The sequence below is a fragment of the Homo sapiens genome, chromosome 12, assembly GCF_000001405.40.
Source record: "Homo sapiens chromosome 12, GRCh38.p14 Primary Assembly".
In the NCBI taxonomy this organism is placed as follows: Eukaryota; Metazoa; Chordata; class Mammalia; order Primates; family Hominidae; genus Homo; species Homo sapiens.
The window spans coordinates 20,592,262-20,614,492 of record NC_000012.12 but is presented as its reverse complement, the minus strand read 5'-3'; the positions used below and the strand labels follow the sequence as shown (position 1 = coordinate 20,614,492).

Below are 22,231 nucleotides of genomic sequence, written 5' to 3'. Positions count from 1 at the left end.
CTCACAACAGCAGAAGCACAGATGTTACTGACTGACCACCAGCTCAAAGGGATAGCTGATTGTTTACTAAATAAATAACTGTGCTGAATATACCAGAGACCACTGACACTGATTTGTCTTTAATATGACTTATTTTTAATTAATATTGAGATCTAAACTGGGTGAGGATCCTCCTACAATTTACTTTCATAAAACTCATGCCATATATGTAAAAAGAATGTTTGTGTAATTTCTTCCTTTTACATATAAAATATATATTTATAGAAATCACTAAGGATATATTTTACTTTAAATAATCTATAATTGACTAAAACTGTTCTGGGTTCAAAACTGTGTATTGGAAAGTCAGGAGGGTATTTTGAAGTATATCATTCAAGAGAATCAAAGAGTAAAGAACCTTTAGCTTTAGGAGTCAATGAATTTTAAACAGAATCTGCACTAGAAAGGAGCAAGGATTTCTGCCTTCTTTGTTTTGTTGTTGTTGTTGCAATATCCTTATCACCTTAGAAAAGCGCCTGGCATATAGAAGAGAAAACGTTTTGCAAGTAACATGAAAGATTAAATAAAAGAGGTAACATAAAAAGATAAATTTTCTATGTATAGAAAACTATCAAGTATAAGGACAGAAGTCTTTATGTTTAAATATTTATTACTTCTGTCACCACGATCAACACATTTTGCCTGAGTCACTGATATGAATCTGCAGATGGAGTTGAGGTGACAGGAAGGAGACCTAGAAGACAATTAAAAAAAATAGTTTAACCCTTTAAGGGGTATGTCATTACTACCTACCTTTGGAATAGCAAGCTTGTCTTTTTCAGAGCTCTCTTCAGAGTCAGAACAGGTATAGTTTTCACTGAGCGAAGTGACGGGATTCACTCTGGGCTTGTGAATGGCCTGGAAGGTGAGCTGTGTGCTGAGCAAGTTGCTCACGGCTCTCAAGGATGTGCACACGTTTGGTGGAAGAGAAGGGTCTGCCAGGAGGTCGGTAATGAGGCCGTGGGCCTCGCCCATGACGGCGATGTCCACAGTAATACTGGTTCCTGAAGACTGAGACACAAACCAAGACAAGATCAGGCAAGAAAAGGCCTGAATCTGAAGGCACAAAGCATTAATTTGGACTTTTTCACTAAGAAATGAATTGGGCTGATTCTTTAGGATTTCAGTACAGTAAAATTCACACCACCTATTTCAAATTCTGCTAAAATGTGCCCTAGCTGCCACCCTTTTTTGCATTTGTGGCCCATTTTTTAATGCTAGAACTTGGGGAGGGTCAAGCATATTTGAAGAAATTAAAAAGATGAACACTAGTTTTTAAAAGGCAAAAAGTTTCAGAGATCTGGGGAAGAAAAACTTCATATCACTCCTTATGAAGAGCTCAACATTTTACATCTATGTTCTTTAGGAATTTCACTCCAAAAGTAACATTAATATACCATAAAATGTTATTTTTAGTAATATTTTAATGTGACACTTGAACCTGGTGTTTATTCAATGAATATTTTTGCTAATGGTAGTTATTCAATGAATGTTATTCGAGATAGACACAAAAAAACTCCATTTGTGTGCTAGTTCACAATCTGTCTCTCTTCCTGTTGTTGGTTGGAATAGAAATTTCAGTTCTGGGATTCTGTGGCACATCTGTCATATTCTGCCAAACTGCCTATCAGAGCAGAGTCATTACTCTGTCCTCACAGCAGAAACGAAGAGCACAAAACACAGAGGCCATATATATTTACTTATATAAGTAACTATATTACTTACATATAGTTTATTACTTATATAAGTAACTATATTACTTATATATAGTTACTTATATAAGTAACTATATTACTTATATATAGTTACTTATATAAGTAACTATATTACTTATATATAGTTACTTATATAAGTAAGTAAATAAACTCCAAAGAGAGAAAAAACAGAAGTATAAAGTTGTACGATTAAAAGAAAATATGAGGGACTATTTTATAATCTTGAAATTATAACCTTTAAAAATAATATGAATTCATAGACTGCCAAGGATATTCCTAATGTATCTGACTAAATGAAGATAAAAACTTCTACATAAGAAAATATACCATAAGCAAAGGAGGAAATGGTCTGTGAGAAAATGTTTGCCACACAGAGAAGATAAAACATATCCAAACAGAGAGCTTCTAAAAAATCACTAAAGGACAAAATTGAAAAAGGAAGTGAATAGGCAATTCAAACAAAATGTAAATAACCAATATATATATATAAAGCCACTTATGTCCACTATAATTAAATTGCAAATCAACATAATAAAAACAACTTTCATTTACAAAATTGGCAAAACAGTAAAAGATTTATAACACCAAGCATTAGTAATGGTTTGGGTAAACGAGTAGTGAGGAAAAACAATCCAAAATGTTTGGCAGGAAACTTTGCTAAGCCTATCAATTAGTAGCTTAAATGTATATATTCTATGATCCAGCAAAACAACATACATATCTGGTCGAAAGAAATACTTCTACAAATATCTAAACATATAAAAACAATAACACAAAGGGTATAGCAGTGTTCTGGCAACGACAACCGAGATACATATAAGTAGATAAATTTTTTTTTTTAAATTTCATTATATCTGTATTATAAAGTTGTCTATCCTTGTTTAAAAGATGTGGGTAGATTCATAAATTATTGTCTAGAAAATATTGTTCAGTGGGTTGGAAAAGTATGTTATAGAAAAAGTGAATATATATTATTCTTGTAATTAGAAAAATATCATGACACCTAACATCCATAAAGATATCTAGTCCTGCAATACCTGTAAGTAATGAATAAATTACTCTGTAAAATTATCATACAGAAAAGTTATGTCTTTTACTGCTAGAATTACAATAACTATAATAATAATGGTAAAGTTGATATATATTAACCACAAGTCTACAAAGTATTAGTAAGTACTATTATTACTTTCACTTTCATTAGACACAAATAACTTGCCAAAATCAGACAGGTGGAAAGTGGAAATATCAGGCTGCAAAGAAAAATAGCTTCATTCCATAGCTCAAGTGTTGAACCAGTACGGTGAAAAACAAAAAAACAAAAACAGAAAATCTTAATTTTATGTGCTTAAATATATCTGTAATTACTTAATGCATAATTTAATACTAGTACCCATGTTCTCTGATCACAGGCATAAATATCTCTTATGAACCAATATGAAAATTTAAGTGTAATATTAATAATTTTAGGATACATAGTCATGCATATGTCATATTTGTATCTATAGGGTTAATTTTATTTTTCTGAGCTAAAAGTAGAATTTTATTTTATTTACTTATTTTAAAAATAATTTGTATTGTGTATACTTGAGGCTTACAACATGTTATGTGTATATGTACAGATAGTCAAATGGTTACTATAGTGAGACAGGTTAACATTATCTAGCGTCTTGCATAGTATTTTTGTGACAAGAGCAGCTGAAATCTCCTTATTTAACAAAAATCTGTAATACAATACAATTTCGTTAACTGTAATCCTCATGTACATTAGATACCCTAGACTTATACATCCTATATATCTGCTACTTTGTATCTTTTGTCCTACATCTCCCCATTTCCTGACCCTTCCCCTGACTCTGCCCAGGGTAACGACTGTTTTATTCTCTATCTCTGAATATTCGACCTTTTTTAAAAATTAAGATTCTACACTTAAGTGAGATAATGCAATATTTTTCTGTGTCTGGCTTATTTTACTCAGCATAATGTTCTTCAGGTCCATCTATGTTATGGCAAATGACAGGATCTCCTTCCTTTTTAAAGGGTGAATGCTATTCCATTGTATGTATATACGTGTGTGCATATATACATACCATGTTTTCTTCATCCATTCATTCATGGACAGATGCTTATGGTATTTACATATCTTGGCTATTGTGAATAATGCAATGAACATGAGAGTGCAGATATCTTTATGAGGTGGTGATTTTATCTTATTTGGATCATATAGTTCTATTTTCAATTTTCTTAAGAACCGTTATACTATTTTCTATAATGGCTGTACCAATCTACATTTCTAACAGCAGTGTTCTAGGGTTCCCTTTTCTCTACACCCTTGCCAACATTTGTTATATCTTGTCTTTTTAATAATAGCCATCCTAACAGGAGTGAAGTGATATCTTATAGTGGTTTTAATTTCCATTTCCTGATGCTTAGTGATGTTAAACACTTTTCCATACATATATGTTGGCCACTTTCATGTCTTCTTTGGAGAAATGTCTGTTCATGTCCTTTGCCCACTTTTTAATCAGGTTATTTTTCCCCTATTGTGTTATAAGAGTTATTTATAAAGTTTGGATATTAATTCCTTATCAGATACATGCTTTGCCAATATTTTTTTTCCCAGTCTGTCAGTTGCCTTTTCATTTTGTTGATTGTTTCCCTTCCTGTGCAGAAGCTATTTAGTTTGATGTGGCCCCATTTACTTATTTTTTCTCTTTTGGCCTGAGATTTTGGTGTGTTATCCAAGAATTCATTGCCAAGGTCAATGTCCGAGAGCTTTCCCCCATGTTCTCTTCTATAAGTTTCACGGTTTCAGGTGTTACATTTCAGTCTTTACGTATTTTGAGTTGATTTTTGTGTGTGGTATAAGATAAACATACGATTTCATTCTTTTGCATGTAGAAATCCAGCTTTCTCAGCACCTTTTATCAAAGAGACTCCCCTTTCCACCTGTGTCCTCCTAGCACCCTTGTGTAAAATTATTTGAACATGTATGCTTGAATTTACTTCTGGGCTCTCTATCCTGTTCCATTGGTGTAGGTTTCTGTTGTTATGCCAGTAGCATGCTATTTTGATTACTATAGATTTGTAATATAGTTGTAAATCAGAAAGTGTAATGCCTTCAACCGTTTTCCCCTCAGTACTGCTTTGGCTATTTGGGGTTTTTTGTGGTTTCATACAAATTTTAGGATTGCATTTTTCTATTTCTGTGAAGACACCATTGCGATGTTGATAGTTATTGCATTAAATTTCTATATTTCTTTGGGTAGTATAAATATTTTAACAATACTTCTGATTGAGTAATGGAATATTTTTCTATATATTTCTGTGTTCAATTCTTTTCATCAGTGTTTTATAATTTTCAATGTACAAATCTTTTACCTCCTTGGTTAAATTTATCCCTAAGTATTTTTTATGCTATTGTAAATGGGAGTGTTTTTTAATTCTTTTTCAGCTAGGGACTTATTTGTATATAAAAAATGTTATTGATTTTTGTCTGTTGATTTTCAATCCTGTAACTTTACTGAATTCATTTGTTAGCTCTAACAATTTTTGTGCGTGTAGAATTGTTGTGGTTTTCTACATATAAAGATCATGTCATCTGCAAATAGAGATAATATCATTATTCAATTTTTTAATGTTTGTAAAAATGCCACTTAGCTAACATTCCCTTTTAGAAATAAGTATTTTAAAGTGCATCTCTAATCATTATGCTTCTGAAAATCTCATCCAGTGTGATCCTCTGAAATAGTAATGTTTATTTTTAGCCATGTTGTTCTAATAAACTAACAATTAACTGGACTGTTTCCATACAAATTTGAAATTTTAAGTCAAACTTTGTTTTCAAGACAAAATTTTAAATGTTTTTGACAATGAAATTAAGTTTATTCTCTAGTAATAACTACAAAGTTCTCTTAAAATGTTCTCAGTATACAAAATCTACAAATCTGAAGAAAAAGTAGAACATGTTCATGAGAATTACAAGTTTTAAATAAATTATTGGGAAGAAGACAAGTTTTTTTATAATTATCAAATTGTGTGTCTTTTTATAATACATTTTATTTTTTCTTTAAAGTAATAGATGTATTTCTTGTATATATAGAAAAAATAGTAAACATTTAAAAAGTACTTTTTAAAATAGAAACTGAAAACTCATCTTTATAAGTCAATGTCACAGTTACATAAGAATTCAGAAAATAAGCACATTATGTATTTTGATGCTACTATTATGCTGTAGCTTTTGCAAAAGCAAAGGTCTTTAAGTGAAAACAAAAGCAACATTCAAGCCGAGAGACAAATTATCCTTATTGAAATTAGCTAAGAAACTGAAGTGAACACTTCTACTATTGGAAAAAAAAAATATCCTTAGTATCATTAAGTCAGGTCCTCACTTTGTTGTTTTCATGATTCTAGAATAAAATTATGTTACAGTCAACAGACACATCACACGTAAGAAGTTATTACCACTTTTTTGCTCAAATAACTAAAGGCTTCAATGAGGCATGCAATTTAAAACCAACAATCAGATTTGTTTGCAGCAAACCTGCCAAGGCTAACCACACATGAAATGGTGAAAAACAGAAAGATGGACTGGCTGCTGTTTCAATAAATAGCAGGTAAGCTACAAAGGATGGGTATGTCTAGGATGTCCCTATTAAGGAATTTTAAGGGAGAGGGGTTTTGGTTTTTGGTAGTGTTTTTTAAATCATGTACAAAGTGAGAAAAAATTGTGTGATTCACACAGAAGTTTTTTCCATGCCTATTAACTTTGAAAAAAATAATATAATTAAATATTGAGGTATACCAATGGTACTCAGAAATGTTTTATTTAACTGGTGAAATCTTAGATAGTGATAATAAATACTAAATGTTAAGTTTATATAAAAGCCAGTTTAAAGAAAAGTCTTAAAACTAACAATCTGAAACCATCTTTCAGTGCAGTACGAGCCACACTAAGCACAAAATCGCAGTTGAGTCTTCTTATGGTGCAGATGATCAAACAAATCTTTTCCTTTAAAAAAAAAAACTTACCAAGCAATATAAAACATTCTACTTCACAGACTCTCCTTGTAATAGAAATATTTATATTTAACATTTCAGAAAATGCAAGTGTATTTCCCTAGACACTATTTAAATGGCAACCAAATTTGGATTGCCACCTTTAAATAGAAAATGTGGCATTTCAGTACGATAAACAGTGGAGGAAAGTGCGGTTTTATATATCAAGCCAAAAATAACTGATACTTTTGGTAAATTCACCATTTTCCAATGTGTTTTTTTTTCTTTTTTCTTTTTTTTTTTTTTTGAGACGGAGTCTCACTCTGTCACCCAGGCTGAAGTGCACTGGCACGATCTCAGCTCACTGCAACCTCAGCCTCCTGGGCTCAAGTAATCCTCCAACCTCAGCCTCCCTAGCAGCTGATACTAGAGACTCACACCACCATGCCTAATTTTTTTGTATTTTTGGTACAGATGGGGTTTTGCTATTTTGCCCAGGCTGGTCTTGAACTCCTGGGTTCAAGCAATCCTCCCACCTTGGCCTCCCAAAGTGTTGAAATTAAAGGTGTTAGCCACCGCGCCCGACTGAGTACTCAGTTTTTAAACAACTTCCTTTTCCTCTTTTATCTTCATCCAGTCTACTTTCCCATTTCCAGGATGTCCTACCTAATCCTGGCTTTAGACTACCACAATTGTTAATGGCCTTGGTATATTACAATCTAGAGTGGTTCTAAGTTATTTCACTCATCATAAACCAAAGGCCCAGAAAGTCTGATGCTATAGATAAGAAGTTTAAAATACAACAAGTATAATCAATATTATACATACTTTTAGACGTGTGCCTATCAATCAATTACAGAAAATTTGTTTTAATTTTTTTTTTTTTTTTTTTGAGATGGAGCTTGTCTCCCAGGCTGGAGTGCAATGGCGTGATCTCAGCTCACTGCAACCTCCACCTCCCAGGTTCAAGTGATTCTCCTGTCTCAGCCTCCCAAGTAGCTGGGATTACAGGCATATGCTACCATGCCCAACTAATTTTGTATTTTTAGTAGAGACAGGGTTTCTCCATGTTGGTTAGGCTGGTCTCAAACTCCCAACCTCAGGTGACCCGCCCACCTGAGCCTCCCAAAGTCCTGGGATTATAAGCGTGAGCCACCGCACCCGGCCAATTTGTTTTAATTTTTATTACTAGTGGGCAAAAACTTTGACATTGCAGTACTGATATGATAAAAGGGAAATCTTCGAATATGTGTGGAGGTCAAAAGGTATTTGCGTGCTATAAAAGGCATCTAAGTTTCTAAAATTTTCTAAGTAAGTTGCAAACTATGAAAAATTCTAACAAGTCTATGTAACCAAGTTACGAACAGAATGTAAAATAAAATCATGTATCATTAAGTAACATATCAGATTATTTGCTGTGGTGCTGTGTTTGAGTTTATGCCAAAATATTGAGAACTGGAGAATTTCTAAAAGATAAAATCTAAGAATGCTTAGGAAATAATTATGTGAAAAGAGTAAATGAAAACAAACAAAAAAAAGCAGATACACATCATTTTTTTTAAAGAAAGTAAAGGTGCCCAAAGGAAAAATCAGAAAAAGACTGGAGAAATGGTAGGGTCAACATAAATTTATTCTTTAAAATGATTAAGGAGATTATCTAGCACCTGGGGTGTAGATGAAGATAATGCATCCAATTCTTGATAAATTTGCTTTGAGGTAGCACCAATATAGTCAAGTTATGACTCTGCTTTCTACATATTTTAAATCACAGATTAAATTGATAACTTAATTAAATAGGCTGACAGGCAGAAAATGTAATAATTCTCCAGTCTTCTGACTCAGTGAACATTCTGGCGTGTCACTTGCTTTGGAAATTAATTTATTCTAACTGGAGGAAAAGAATTAGAAGCAGCACCAAAAGCCTCTCTTCGTAAGTCTACATGAAACTTGAAGATAGGTTACAAATGCTGAAACATTAGAATTGAGAAATTATCTAGATAACCTAGTAGAAATGCTATATACTTCAAATTAGGCCACTTAAAAATATCTTAAGTTTTATGATGACTTCCAAAACCAAACCTACAGGTTTCCTTATAGGCAATACTGTATCCAACAGAGCAATCAGGCTCTTTTCCTCTGAAATCAGAGAACTGGGCGGGATCTTTTGAAGGTCCCTTCCAATTGGGCAAGTAATTCATTTCTCTACATTTACACACACACACATACACACCCCCATCAAATAAGAAAAAAGAAAAAGATTTTAAAATTACATCTTGGCATCTTTAAGCATTTTACATTTAAAAAAAGATTTTAAAATTATTATGTAGACTTAGAAAAGTCCTTATTGTATTAATTGCTAATCTTTCACAAGCTCTACCTTATAAATTGTTATTGAGTCACTGATGCTGTTTCCTTCTTATGGTAAATTGCCTAGTGTACACTGAGTAGATCACAAGGAATAGGCTATTTGGTGGAATTTCCATATACTTCTCCCAATAGGTAAGTTACGCATTTGCCTAGTGTCAGTTTCCTTTCTTCCCAAATCTCTTTAGGCCTGTTATATTTGTCACTGTAAATTACATAGACTAACAAAATATCTACAAAGAAATGACACCTGCAGAAAAATGGAATTGTTCCCTTGAAAACGAAGTCAGGTAGCTTTACACAGAGTTCATAAATAGATTTTATAAGGGTGAGAGCCTAAGAATGTATTTCCCTTGATTTAAGTAGGGGAGATACAACTATAAAGATTCAAAAAGAAAATCACAACACACCTAAAGGCTTTTCAACTCAGAATGCTTCCAAGTTCCTAAGTTGTTTCCACTATAAAGAAACGGAAACTGGCAAGCATGTACAATGAAATATGAAATATGGGTATGGTGTAAGTAAGAACGGCAACCTGAAACTCCAGTCACTTCAGTGGACACATACTTGAGAGAAACATTCTTGGCTCTTCATCAAAGATGTGCAAAAACCTGCATACTCTATGTATTAAGTTAAAATATATTACTAGAATTATAGAAAATTTATATCATATTTTTATGATTCTCTACTTTAAAAACTTTTTAAAATTCCCAGACCAGCTATTTGTCCTAATTATGTCTGTTAAGAGAGCTCCATAGTATTTTAAACTCAATATTTTCTTTCCCTTAAAATGAGACATAATGTAATTGCGGTGTTAAAGCTATTCATTAACATTCCTGGAACAAGAGCTAGAAAGCTAAGCCTGGTTTATGAATTAGCATTTGGGAAGCAAAAAGGTAGAAAAACATATTTTTGTCATATATATAATTTGTAAGGTTGTGTATGTGGGAAGTTGGAAAGCAGAGTTTTAAAACGTTGGGATATAAGAGAAAGTTTTTTTCATTCATCAATATCAAATATTTATTATATGAGGTAATACATGGGGTCTTTAAGGAGGCAAGAACCGAAGTTAGACTGCTTCTGTTCAAATTTCAGATCTGCTAAGATTTTTATTTTATTTAAAAAGTAAATTCATTTTATCTCCCTCCCCTCCCCTCTCCTCCCCTCCCCTCTTCTCTCCTCTCCTTTCCTTTTTTATTTTCTTCTTTCTTGAGATGGAGTCTCGCTCTATGGCCCAGGCTGGAGTGCAGTGGCACGATCTCAGCTCACTGCCACCTCCGCCTCCTGGTTTCAAGCAATTCTCCTGCCTCAGCCTCCCGAATAGCTAGGACCCCAGGCATGCGCCACCATGCCCAGCTAATTTTTGTATTTTTGGTAGAGACAGGGTTTCCCCATGTTGGCCAGGCTGGTCTCGAACTCCTGACTTTGTGATCCGCCTGCCTCAGCCTCCCAAAGTGCTGTGATTACAGGCGTGAGCCACCATGCCTGGCTCATTTTATTTCTTTAGCTCTTGTCTCCTCTCTAAAAAGGGATTAATAGTAATATCGACTGTATAGTGTAATTGATGATTAAATGAGATCATAAACATAAAGACTTGTGAGAGTGCGTGGTCCAAAATATATGTTTGATAAGTATTATACATCACCAACATTATCATTATTGTTGGTGAAACATTGTTGTTGAGAAAGATTGTGTGTGCAAAGAAATGTATGTTGTGCACGTGGGTGTTTGTCCCCTACATGAACTGGGCCAGTAGTTCCTTTATAAATGAAGATAGCACAGAGATATGATTTCTCTACCAAAATAAATAAATAAATTAAATAAATAAATAAAACAATAAAAACAAAAACCTATTTCCACTTCTTACTCTAGGTAAATGCAGTCAGATATATTGTACTCCCTACTGCAAAATACTCATAATAGTCCTGATTTTAATTTTAAGTTCTTAAAAAGTGATTGTACAGAAGTCCTGGTTTCAGTTAATATGGTTGATTGCATTGGAATGATTTATAACACAGGATGTGAAAAGAATTCTAAAAGCAGGCATCATAGCTCCATTGTTGGAAGTATTTTTTTCTTTCTATTTAGTCATCCTGGGAGGCACCCTGGGAGGCAAACACAGCATGGGAGGAATATTCTTAGGGTGGAAAGGGAGTTGGGATAAGAGACGAATAAACAGTGTAAGAGATGACACATAAAAAGGAAATAGTCACTGGGGCTTTTCTCATCCAACTTTGGTCCTCAATGCTGGGAAAAGATGTGTGATGAGTTTTTGGAAGCTGTCTCCTCCTACATCTCTGTAGCACTACGTGCCACTCCATCCCTCCAACTCTTTCTCTGGGAGGCTGTCCGTGATACTAGGAAATGGTATCTTGGTCTTTAATGTACTACATTAATTTAGAAGATGAGCTGGATTTGATACAATGATCTTTGGTGCATTACTGGTTCTGACCTCAGAGACAGCAAAATTGCATATGTGTTTATACTTTCATAGGACCCATTTATAATTTTAGACTTGAAGTTGGTTGGGAAATTTTTAAAAAATGAAATCATGTGAAAATTTTGCAGTAACTCATTGTAGGCTGAACCTTGGCTAAAGGCCATCCTAAGGAAGCAGATGTTTGCGTATTTTAATTTTCTGGCAGGGAATATGAGTTTACATTTGGATTTTTTCCTTAAGATAATATGTATGTACAGTAGGAGGAAAACCTATAGGGCCCTTCATCAAACTGCTTCCCAACATGTCTGTGGGCAGGTTCCATGTGAGATGTGAAACATAACAAACTTCATTAGTTACCAGAATTCTTAACATCCTTCTCTTTTGATGTTCAAAGAGCACTGCAAGTCACCAAATGAGATGGAATACATGGCCTCTGTCCTTATACAAGTCCCTGCAAGCTATCAGCAAACAAGTCAAAAATTGGTGAAAAATTCTGTCTTGTTTATATTTTCTAACTACTTTCCAGACACTAGCGAACTCACGTAACAACTCAAAGTTAACAATTTTACAATAGTGTTTTATTATTTAGGAAATGGAACATACTTATTCATCACTTACTCTAGTAAGAACCCGCATCTTTCAGAAGATAACCTTAGCTGTCTTTAAGTTGCACGCTGGTTTTCTCTCTTTCTCTTAATTAGAAAAGATGATGTAGCTGGCAAAGATATAATAAATTCAGGCAATGAGCTACTCATGTGACTGCTCACACAAATGTGGGAAGGCTTGGTTAAGTACAAATTACTTTGTAAATAAAAAACATTATTATTTCTGTTGTTGGAAGAAACAGGAAGCAAAGAGAACTTAACTGGATGTGAGCACTTCTCTGATATGAGAAAGAGTTTTAAAAAATGATAGGAATAACTAAGAATCTCTGAAATAAGTACGAACTCAGAAAGCTGATAAATGTGGGCTGGTCTTTGTCTGTTAAATATCAAGAATTGCTATTAAATTTGAACTTAAGGCTTCTGTTTGCTTAGGCTAAAAACTTCAGTGAACAACAGATGGCAGTATTCTGCCTTTTAAAAGAATTATCTGACCATCTCTTTTAAAACAAGTGCTACTGCCTCATTAACAGGCAGAATTTAGTTTTTTTTCACAGAAAACAAAAAAAAAAGCTAAAAAAGAATAACTTACATAAGTCTGCTGGTAGAAATAAAAAATTTAAAATGTGTCTTATCCCTCAGGATCATTGTTAAAGTGAAATTACAATTACATAATTAATGATTTGTCTAAGTTGCAAACATTTTAGTTGTTACGTTTCTCAATTTTTATAAGACATATTAGAAACGTGACTTCTTCCCATGCACAATTTGATTAACATTTTCCCACATGTAATTTTCTACTGTGATTAAAATATTAACACAAAACATCAAATGCCTTTGAACACACTGTTTTGTGGAACTTTACTGCCATTTGTTTTATCCATATCAACACTAGACTTTTTCCTGCCCCATATGCAATGGGTGTTTATCTAGGCTACTGACTTGCCTCTTCTACACTTAATCCAGGACATCTTCCCTGACTGCTTCAGGACCATACAAACATTTCCACGTTAATGCCTATTGGGATATTCCATTCATACTCTGAAAACAGCAGAAACGAAAGCAAGCCAAAAAACAAACAAACAAACAAACAAACAAACAAACAAAAAGCCTTGGAGCTATACCTTTTGAGAAACCTTGCATCTCTGACCAGATCTTACATATATACATAGATCCTCGTTGCAATAGCACCTGCCACAATTCTCGATTCAGCTTTTGGTATGTCTATATGTGATGGTCTGTCTTCCTCCTTCAGGCTCAAAGTTGTGCAAGGACAAGGGCAATGCTAGGTTTCATTCCCCCAGTGTGGTATCTGGTACTTTGTGGGCACTCAATAATATGAGAAATGATGACTGCATAAGTAACATACTCCAAACCTTCAAAGATAAGTAAATGCCCTCTCTCCAATTCTGTACCTTAAAAGACAAGTAAATTAAAGTGTTTGAGACAGTTCTTTGAAACAAATCACTGCTTTTCTGGAAGCCATCTTAAAACATTCAACCTCCTAGCACAATTGCATGTTCTAATCTCACACTTAAAGTATACTGAGAATTGTTACACTGAAATACTGGAGTCATGATTAAAAACTATTATTTAACAACCTGATTCTGGAATAAGCACTGTCCAGAAAACAGTGAAAATGCCAAGGAGAAGTAATAGTACTGACACAAAAAGCAATCCTACAAATTTTTCCACAATTGGGTACATACATGAAAAGAGTAAGCAAAGGATTAGGGTGTGTTTTCTGGAAAAGGAAAAGATCTTAACAGGCCTGGAGGTAAAGAATGGCCTTTTGAAGACAAAGCTCAGGTGAAGTACACAGTGCTTCAGTTTGAAAGGTTGACACTGGAGAGGTCTGAGGAAACAGATCATGGCAGGAATATGAGCCATATTCAAGAGCTTTGATTAACTAGTAAGGGCAATAAGAAAGTCCTGTAGAATACTGGCATCATCAGTATGTGTGGAGAGAGGAGTCAGGCTAGCTTTCAGGATGAAGGTTTGGGAAGATACGTAGCTAAGAGTCTTTCATAGAATGAGGAATCAAAAGAGAAGGAATCAGTTTGGACGAGGGTACTGAGGTATTTATTGGATGATTCCAGTGGCATATTAGGAGAGACTTCTGAACTGGAAATATACATTTGGGCATTGAAGACATATATATGGTCATTTCAACAGCATGTTGCCATGAAAGTGTGTGAAGAGAAAGGAGTATACTGAGGCTAGAGCCATAATCAATATCAACTTTTAAAAGCCAGGCAGAAGTGAAATCCACAAAAGGAAATAAGAAGGGACAAGTAAGAACTGGGAGTGTAGTGTCCATGGCACCAAGGAAATGTTAAGAAGCAAGGAGTGGTCAGCAGTGGATCAGTGTTTGAGAGATTAGTAAATCTTGAAAAATGTTTATGAGTTTAGTATTTGGAAGGTCACTGGCAACTCTACAGACTACAGTTTCAGTGAAACACTGAGGTAGCAAGCCACATTGCAATAAATTGAGCAATGAAAGGAAGATAGAAAAATGAAGATCATAGAGACAAGTCTCATGAAAACTGGCTGTAAAATGGAAGATAGATATATGTCAGTATCCAGAGGGAAAACAGGGTCTAAAGAGTTACTGAGCATGTGAACAGCATAAATGCTGAAGGGTAAACACAGTGGAATGATAAATAGATAAAAATCCAAGAGAAGGAAGTAAGGGGTACAGGAGTAACCTTTCACAATGGGAGATACCTTTTCCATGATAACAGTAAGAAAGAAGAATACAGATTTATAGGTGAGAAGTTAAACAAATTTTTATACGTTGACTTTTATTTACACTGTGAATTACACCGTGAATTGGGCACTGAGTCCCTTGCTGAAAACGTGATGTGGGCAATGTTGAGGTTAGAAGTACAAACGAGAATGAAAAGTTTTGAAAGAGGGATAAAAAAGAGCTGGCTAGATTCTCAAGCAATACAAAGGCCCGGTTGAGTACTTCCCAGTGTTACTCAGCATAAAATTTGACTTGAAAAGGCAACAAAGAGAAAACAGGAGAAGTATGACAGACAGGAAAGAAAGATTGGCCAACTGGACTGGAGATCCTGGTGAGGTGAAAGAACAGGTCTAGAGAGAGTAAGTGGGGGGCAGAGCAGAAAAGCTGGAAGAAGCATGAAGGCAGCACGTGGGGACTGCATAAGAAGGATGAATGGGTAAAGAAGTCCATTAGCAGACTAGACTCTCAGGCAGGGGAAGTTACTGCTTTTTATTAGCAGAAATGAAGGTTGAAAGGGAAGTATGAGGCTAGATTTCAGATGCCCAATAATGAAAGACAAAGATTTCTAATTCTATCAGTTGGTAACTGAATGACGAAAGATGGCTGACAAGGAAAATGATATAATCAAACAGTATGCAGTGCTTGAGGAAGATTAAGGTGTGGCATAGAAGAAGGCTGATTTGACCAAGGCTGCCACAACAATAAACATGGGAAACAAGGCCATTCACAGCATGAATGTCCCAGGAAGAAAAGAGTGAAAGTTACATTAAGGAGAATCATTTGCACTTGGAAATAGGTGAGATATGGCGACATAAGAAATGAAATAGATTTATTCCTATAATAGTCTTCTTTACTCTGTCTACAGTATTCTTTCAATTTCTTCTTTCAGAAATCTCTAAGTACCCCAGGCTTCACAAAATAATTTGTGAATAATTCACTTGTGAGTTAATAAAATCTATATTGTGTCTGACCAACTAAGAAAATGTTCCCCTTTGATAATCTCTATTGCCTTCCACAGTGTAAACATTTGAGGGGGCGGGTGATTTCAATAGCCCCCAATTTTTTAACACAACATTAAACACCTCATAAATGTATTTTAAAAGTCAGTAGGGCCTGGTGTGGTAGCTCACGCCTGTAATCCCAGTACTTTGGGAGACCAGGCAGATTACTTGAGGTCAGGTGTTCAAAACTAGCCTGGCAAACATGGTGAAACCCCATCTCTACTAAAAATACAAAAAATTAGCCGGGCGTGGTGGTGGGAGCCTGTAATCCCAGCTACTCAGGAGGCTGAGGCAGGAGAATTGCTTGGACCAAGGAGGCGGAGGTTGCAGTGAGCTGAGATCGCGCCATTGCACTCCAGCCTGGGAGACAGAGCAAGACTCCATCTCAAAATAATAATAATAATAATAATAATTAAAAAAAGAAATAAAAGTCAGTAAATTTCATTTGCTACAACTAATCAAGGATTCCATCAATCGAATAATAAAGTTTTCAAACTTAAAAATAGATCAAACTTCAAAACACTTGTAAAAATATTTTTGGAAAACAGAGTGTGTTTTCTCTAAAGAAACACTGTTAGAAGTGATTTTGAAGCTTATGAGCACAAAAAAAACATAAGTATGATAGAATTTTGTTTGTTTGTTTTCCACTGCAAATTTACCCTATTTCAATAATGTCACAAAGGGAATACAGAGGTACTGAAAAAATATCCATTTCTTCTTCATTCATTTGACAAATATTAACTGAAATCTATTGGGTACCTGGTACTATCTACACCTTAGGGCTACAGAGATGAATGAATCAGGGCTGCTACCTTTAGGTAGCTTGCAGTCTAGTGGAAGGCATTCAGGGAACTGAAAGGGGTTAGAGGATAAAGGAGAAAACCCTGTGGGTGTATCCAGTACCCCTGGTTATAAGAAGAGTGAAAGAAGTTGGTTGAAAGTGAAAACAGTTGTTTCTCAAAGTGCAGATCCTAAAACACCTGAATCTGTCCATGTGGTTCTTTTCCAAACTTTGAAAATGGTCACTCTGAACAGAGTCACCATTATCATTCATACCTCTCTTCAAAGTAGGATCAAAAAAAGAAAAAAACCAACAAAAAAGCCTATTATCCAGAAAAGAGAATTGTGAGAAGGGTGAAAGACAGATAGCAAACATACTTATCACTATAATATAGCATTTCCCTCAAAATCTTGAGCCCCTATAAGTCTCATAGATCCAACACCTAAGTCTTATCTTTGAAACATGGACTTCAAGGCTTTCTAGCTTCTGATCCACCCAGCAATGAGTTGGGAACTTGAAACTCCCTTCCCTCTCAGAATACCTGAGGGTTCCTTCTTGCTTACTGGTTTTTGAGAATGGAGTAAGCTTATCTGTAAGTCATTTTACATATAGGGCAGGTAGGTGTAATACACTACAGTTTGTAATATAATTTCTTGATTTTCTAAGATGCAACTCAAGAGATCTAAACAATGACATTGTAAAGGGAGTGACTTTCAACATTTGAAAGCAGTGCACACAAAAGGTTATGTAATTTGCCCAAGGTTACAAAGATCTTAAGCTGCAGAGATGACATTCCAACCCAGGTAGTCTGGATCCGAAGCCCTACGCTATTCACAATGCTAAATACTGGGTACCGTTCCTATGTACAGTCATTTACCTTCAATGATATGAAAATATCCTTGCCAATTTGCTATACGGTATTTTTTTTAAATAAACACTTCCTCCAATTAATGAGAGCCTAAGTAGATAAAGATTATTAAGGGGAACTTGTTAACATCATCAGTAAACTCCAAGATTTCATGGTTGACTCCCTTCTTTCACATCTTCTTTGAAAATGTCAAATTAGACTCTTCCCAGAACTAAGTATTAGGAAAGGTCCCACTATTAATATTTTTCCATCAAGAAAAATGCCACTTATTCTCTCTATTTCTGATACTTAAGCCAGATCGTTCATATGGTTTGCCCCGGAAGGAAAAACTTGTGGATTCTTGTGGAGACTTCTATTGCTAAAAGGAAGGCATCCGTCTTCATTTTCCTCTTAGGTGGTAATGAATATAAAATTGTATGATGTATCTGTCTACAAGTCTGGGTTAATCACTTCAGTTTAAGAAACTGGTTTCAGTTGTAATCTTATTATATTCAGAATGTTATGAGACAATTAAAAAATATGATTATCCTAGGATCAGCAGACATGGTGGCTCACCAAGACATTTAGCGGGCAGATGTCAGGCAGGATCATCAAGGTTTTGTATGGGAAGTATTTCAAAATGATACCCCACTCCACATTTAGCAACAATGTGTTGCTGAATAAAGGAGGAAATTAAGTAAGTAAATAAGTCATTTGGTCATAATAGTGAGTCACTCAGGATTTCTGTCATAGATTTGTTTTCTTCTTGTAGACATAATTGCTAGTTCAGTCAATGCTTCCACAGAGTGTTTGTATGGTAATACCAACAGATTTATGGAATATGAAGAGTCAATTTCTACAGAAATTCAGCACATGTTCTTTAAGACAAAGATCTATGCAAAAAAGGACAAAATGAATTCAAAAATAATCTTTTAAAATTATAATCATAAGATTAATACAAGCACTGATTAAAAATATGTTTTTTTCTGAAAATAAGGAGGAGGATGTAGGAAAAACATTGATATTAAATTTGTCTTTAACCATCATTTCAGTCAATTTTAATTTCATTTCATCTTAAAATAGGGAGATAAGGACTAAAGTAGGGTGGCAATGCTTTAATTGAAATATGCCATAAAAACAAATAAGCAAAGCTTTATCTTAAAAATGGACACAGAGCAGATGCAATGGCCCCTTTCAAGTGCTGGCCCTGCTGGCAAACTGAAGAATATATAATTAAGACAGAATAAGGTCTAACTAAAAAGAGCTTCAAAATGTCTCCCTACTAGTTTCAATACTTCAAACAAATACTTTAAACTTGCTATATTATCTCTATCATCAGCTACATTCTACTCTGGCTCAAAAGATTATAAGAGCTTCTTGAATATCCATCAAGCATGTCTTGTGGCTGCTGGACCAATTGACAGCCTCATTAAATTTCCTATGGACTATGATAACATTCTGATATTAAGACAAATAGGTCCAAAGACATTTGGAAATGTCTAATTCTAAACTGTCTTCAAAGCATATGCAGTGGCTATCATGATTGACTCTCTGTGCCAATCATGATAATTTCAACTCCAAAGCCAGGGATTTGATCAAGAATGGGTAGGCCAAGTCAATGTGAGTCAATGAGATATGAGGGGAACTTAGCTTCATGCTTCTAGAAAAGGAAATCCTTTTTCTTCAGAAGAAAGTTTGTTGCTGCCAGCAGCCATTTTTGGATCACAAGTAGAATCGGCATTAGGATGAGACCAATACTATAGACAGTAGCAGAGTAGAGAGAATAAAAAACCTAGGTGCGTTATAACATTGCTGAATTCACTAAATGCACTAATCCTGAAGGCTTCCCTCCTTTGGCCTTCTATTCATGAGAAATAATAACATCTCTTTATTGCTACAACTAGTTGAAGTAAAGTTTTCTTTTATTTACAGTTGAAAATATTCTAATACAGCATAATTTTTTTTTACCAACTGTATATATATAATATACCAACTGTATAGATAAATAGGTGGTAATAATAAAATTTTATAATGTATCGATCTACAAGTCTGGGTTAATAACTTCAGTTTAGGAGAACAGTTTTAGTTATAATCTTATTATATTCAGAATGCTATAAGGCAATAAAAAAATATGATTACCTTAGGTTCAGCCAAACACGGTAACCTACTGAGGGCTGAGTGATGAGCACCAGCTAGTTCTCTTAGCCAAGTGACTCATTTCTGCAAGCGAGCCCCCAACATACTATCCATATCTGAATCCTAGAGGCAAATTAATAATCAAAATGCTACTCATTTAATATTCTTATAGAAAGGCACTTCAGACATGTTTGGATTCTGTAAGCTTCTTAAAGATGAGCGTCATTTCATACTCATTTTCTAACCCCACAGCATTTTGCTCAGGTACCAGGCTCAGCAAAAAAAAAAAAAGCCCCTAATTAGTTTAAATGAATTCTCTTTTCTCCAGTTCTTCTTGGCAGAAAATATACAAAAATAAGCTATCCAATCTTTATTGAGGACTTTAATTCGGCTTCATATGAATTTCTAAATATAGAAAGGACTTCTTAATTCTTGACTTCCTCCCTATTGTTTCAATGAGCAAATAATATTTTTTCTTTTGGTTAATACCAGTCTCCTACCACTGTACTTTTAATTTCATCCTTCTAATAGACAGCATATTTGTTTTAATTAGTGCATTTCTTATTCATTCTCTTTTTCCTCCTCGCTTTTTCCTCGCAACTTAAAAACATTGTTAGCATTATCCTCTACTAACAAAATTAGGGTCTTTGACCCCATCTCTAAGGAGCTAACCATTTTTTAAAAAATTATAATCTATTAACATTTTGAAAGCCCTTAAAGAGAGTTCTGCTCTCACTAATTCTCTATCAATATTAATAAATATCTTAATCAAAATATCTAATGACAACATTCCTGGCTTTTTCTTGCTTCACCACCAGACATTACTGAAGCCTAGCACCTCAGGCACAGCCATCTCCTCTTCTTCTGGCCTAGCTTTTTTCCAGCCTGAGAACAAACTCACTGTCTGCTTTCCTTTTTATTATTTTTATCCACATTAATCTGTGCCCTTCCCTCCCAGCCCTCACCCTATGTTATAATGAATACAGTACCCGCTAATCTGTTGTTCCAACACTGACCACTCCTTCGAGCTTCTGGACAGCTCCACTCAGATATTCCAAAGCAATTTCACACTCAACTTTCCAAAAGAAAATATTTTATCTTTGGAAATCTTTTCCTCATGTATTTCCTACTTGGCTAAAACCAAAATCACTAACCAAAACTGGACACGTTGACTCTTAGGTTTTATTTGTATTTATTCTTTGCTTTCTTACCTTCAACATCAAATTGGTCAGTGGATCTGGAAATTTACATGCAAGACTGACATTTTTTTTTTTTTCCTTAAAAAGCCTCTCATCCCTGCTTTAATCCATCTCTCATTATATCACACGAGGATGGCTACAATATTTTTTTCTTCTAGTTTCTTCCTGCCACAAACTTGGCTTTTCCCAATGCAGAGATATTATTATGCTGCTCTGCCACTTCAGGGCTCCGCGAAGTTAGGGAACAACATTCAACTTCTTGGTTGTCTTTAAGTGTGTTAACATTTAACCTTTAACCCGCCGCCCTTTTCCAGTTACATCTCCACGTGCTCTACTAATGCCTCATCCCTCCAGCTAACCTGGATTCTCTTTACAGATATGATGCCACAACCCTATGCTTTGGTTTATGGTGTTACTTCTGCCTACCACTTCATTTCTTTTATTTAGTATTGATTATCAAGATTCAACTTTAATATATAAAAACATTCCAGCTTCATTCTCAAACTGACACCAAATTAATCACTTCAGCCTCGAAGTCTCCATAGTACTTTGTTCAACATCTATTATGATATTGTTGTATTGCTAATTATGACTAAATTCCTTGCCAGATTATGCATTTGAGAACAATTTTTGTTCATTTTTATAATCTTAGTACTCAGCATACTGTAAGAACTCAAAAAACCTAATTATTAAAAGAATGAGCTCTAATTGCCTTCTAACACAATGTGCTATTCTTACAAATGGTTCTCAACTGTTTAGAGAATCTCATTATTCTAATCGGTCTGAAAAGTGTGACTCCCCCACCCCTTGTATTCAAACAAGACCTCCTTCTAGTCCTCACAACCTCCTACTGAGTATCATGTCACTTAAGGCAACTGCCTGCAATAAACACACTCAATTAACAGGCAAACACAGATCCCCATGAGCAATGAACATAAAGGAGTACTGAAGAAAGAAGAGGCACAGTGCACTAATTTCCCTGATGCTCTCCCTCATTTTCAGCAGTCCCTGACTACAGGCCCGCTGCTTATTTTCAGAGCTCCTTTCTATGATTAGTACTCAAGCATAGGTGGACACTTCACAGAAAGTGGCTTTCGTTATAATAACAGCACACATACATCATTGGAAAACACTAGAACACTGAAGGAAAAAAATAGAGTGAACAAATTTTGACTTATTGCTAGCATAGTCGTTTGATATTATAGTTTTTAAAAACATAATGATTGGATATGGTGTTCGAATTCCTTTTATTTACTGCAGGATGACAATTTATACCTTTAAAGAAAGGTAATTCTGAAAATCTAGAGTCAATCTCTCTGTTCCCTCAAAACAAATACAACCTTTTGACCTTTCCACTGTAATT

At 34.7% G+C, this 22,231-nt stretch overlaps 1 protein-coding gene across 5 annotated transcripts in view; it reads right to left on the bottom strand.

Moving 5' to 3' along the window:
* The window catches only part of PDE3A (phosphodiesterase 3A), a 320,047-nt gene that overhangs the window by 74,091 nt on the left and 223,725 nt on the right, over window positions 1-22,231 (bottom strand). For all 5 annotated transcript variants that reach the window (NM_001378408.1, NM_000921.5, NM_001378407.1 and 2 more), the window contains one exon: window positions 793-1,050. In NM_001378408.1, coding sequence (NP_001365337.1) covers window positions 793-1,050 — 258 coding nt within the window. The remainder of the gene's footprint in view (window positions 1-792; window positions 1,051-22,231) is intronic.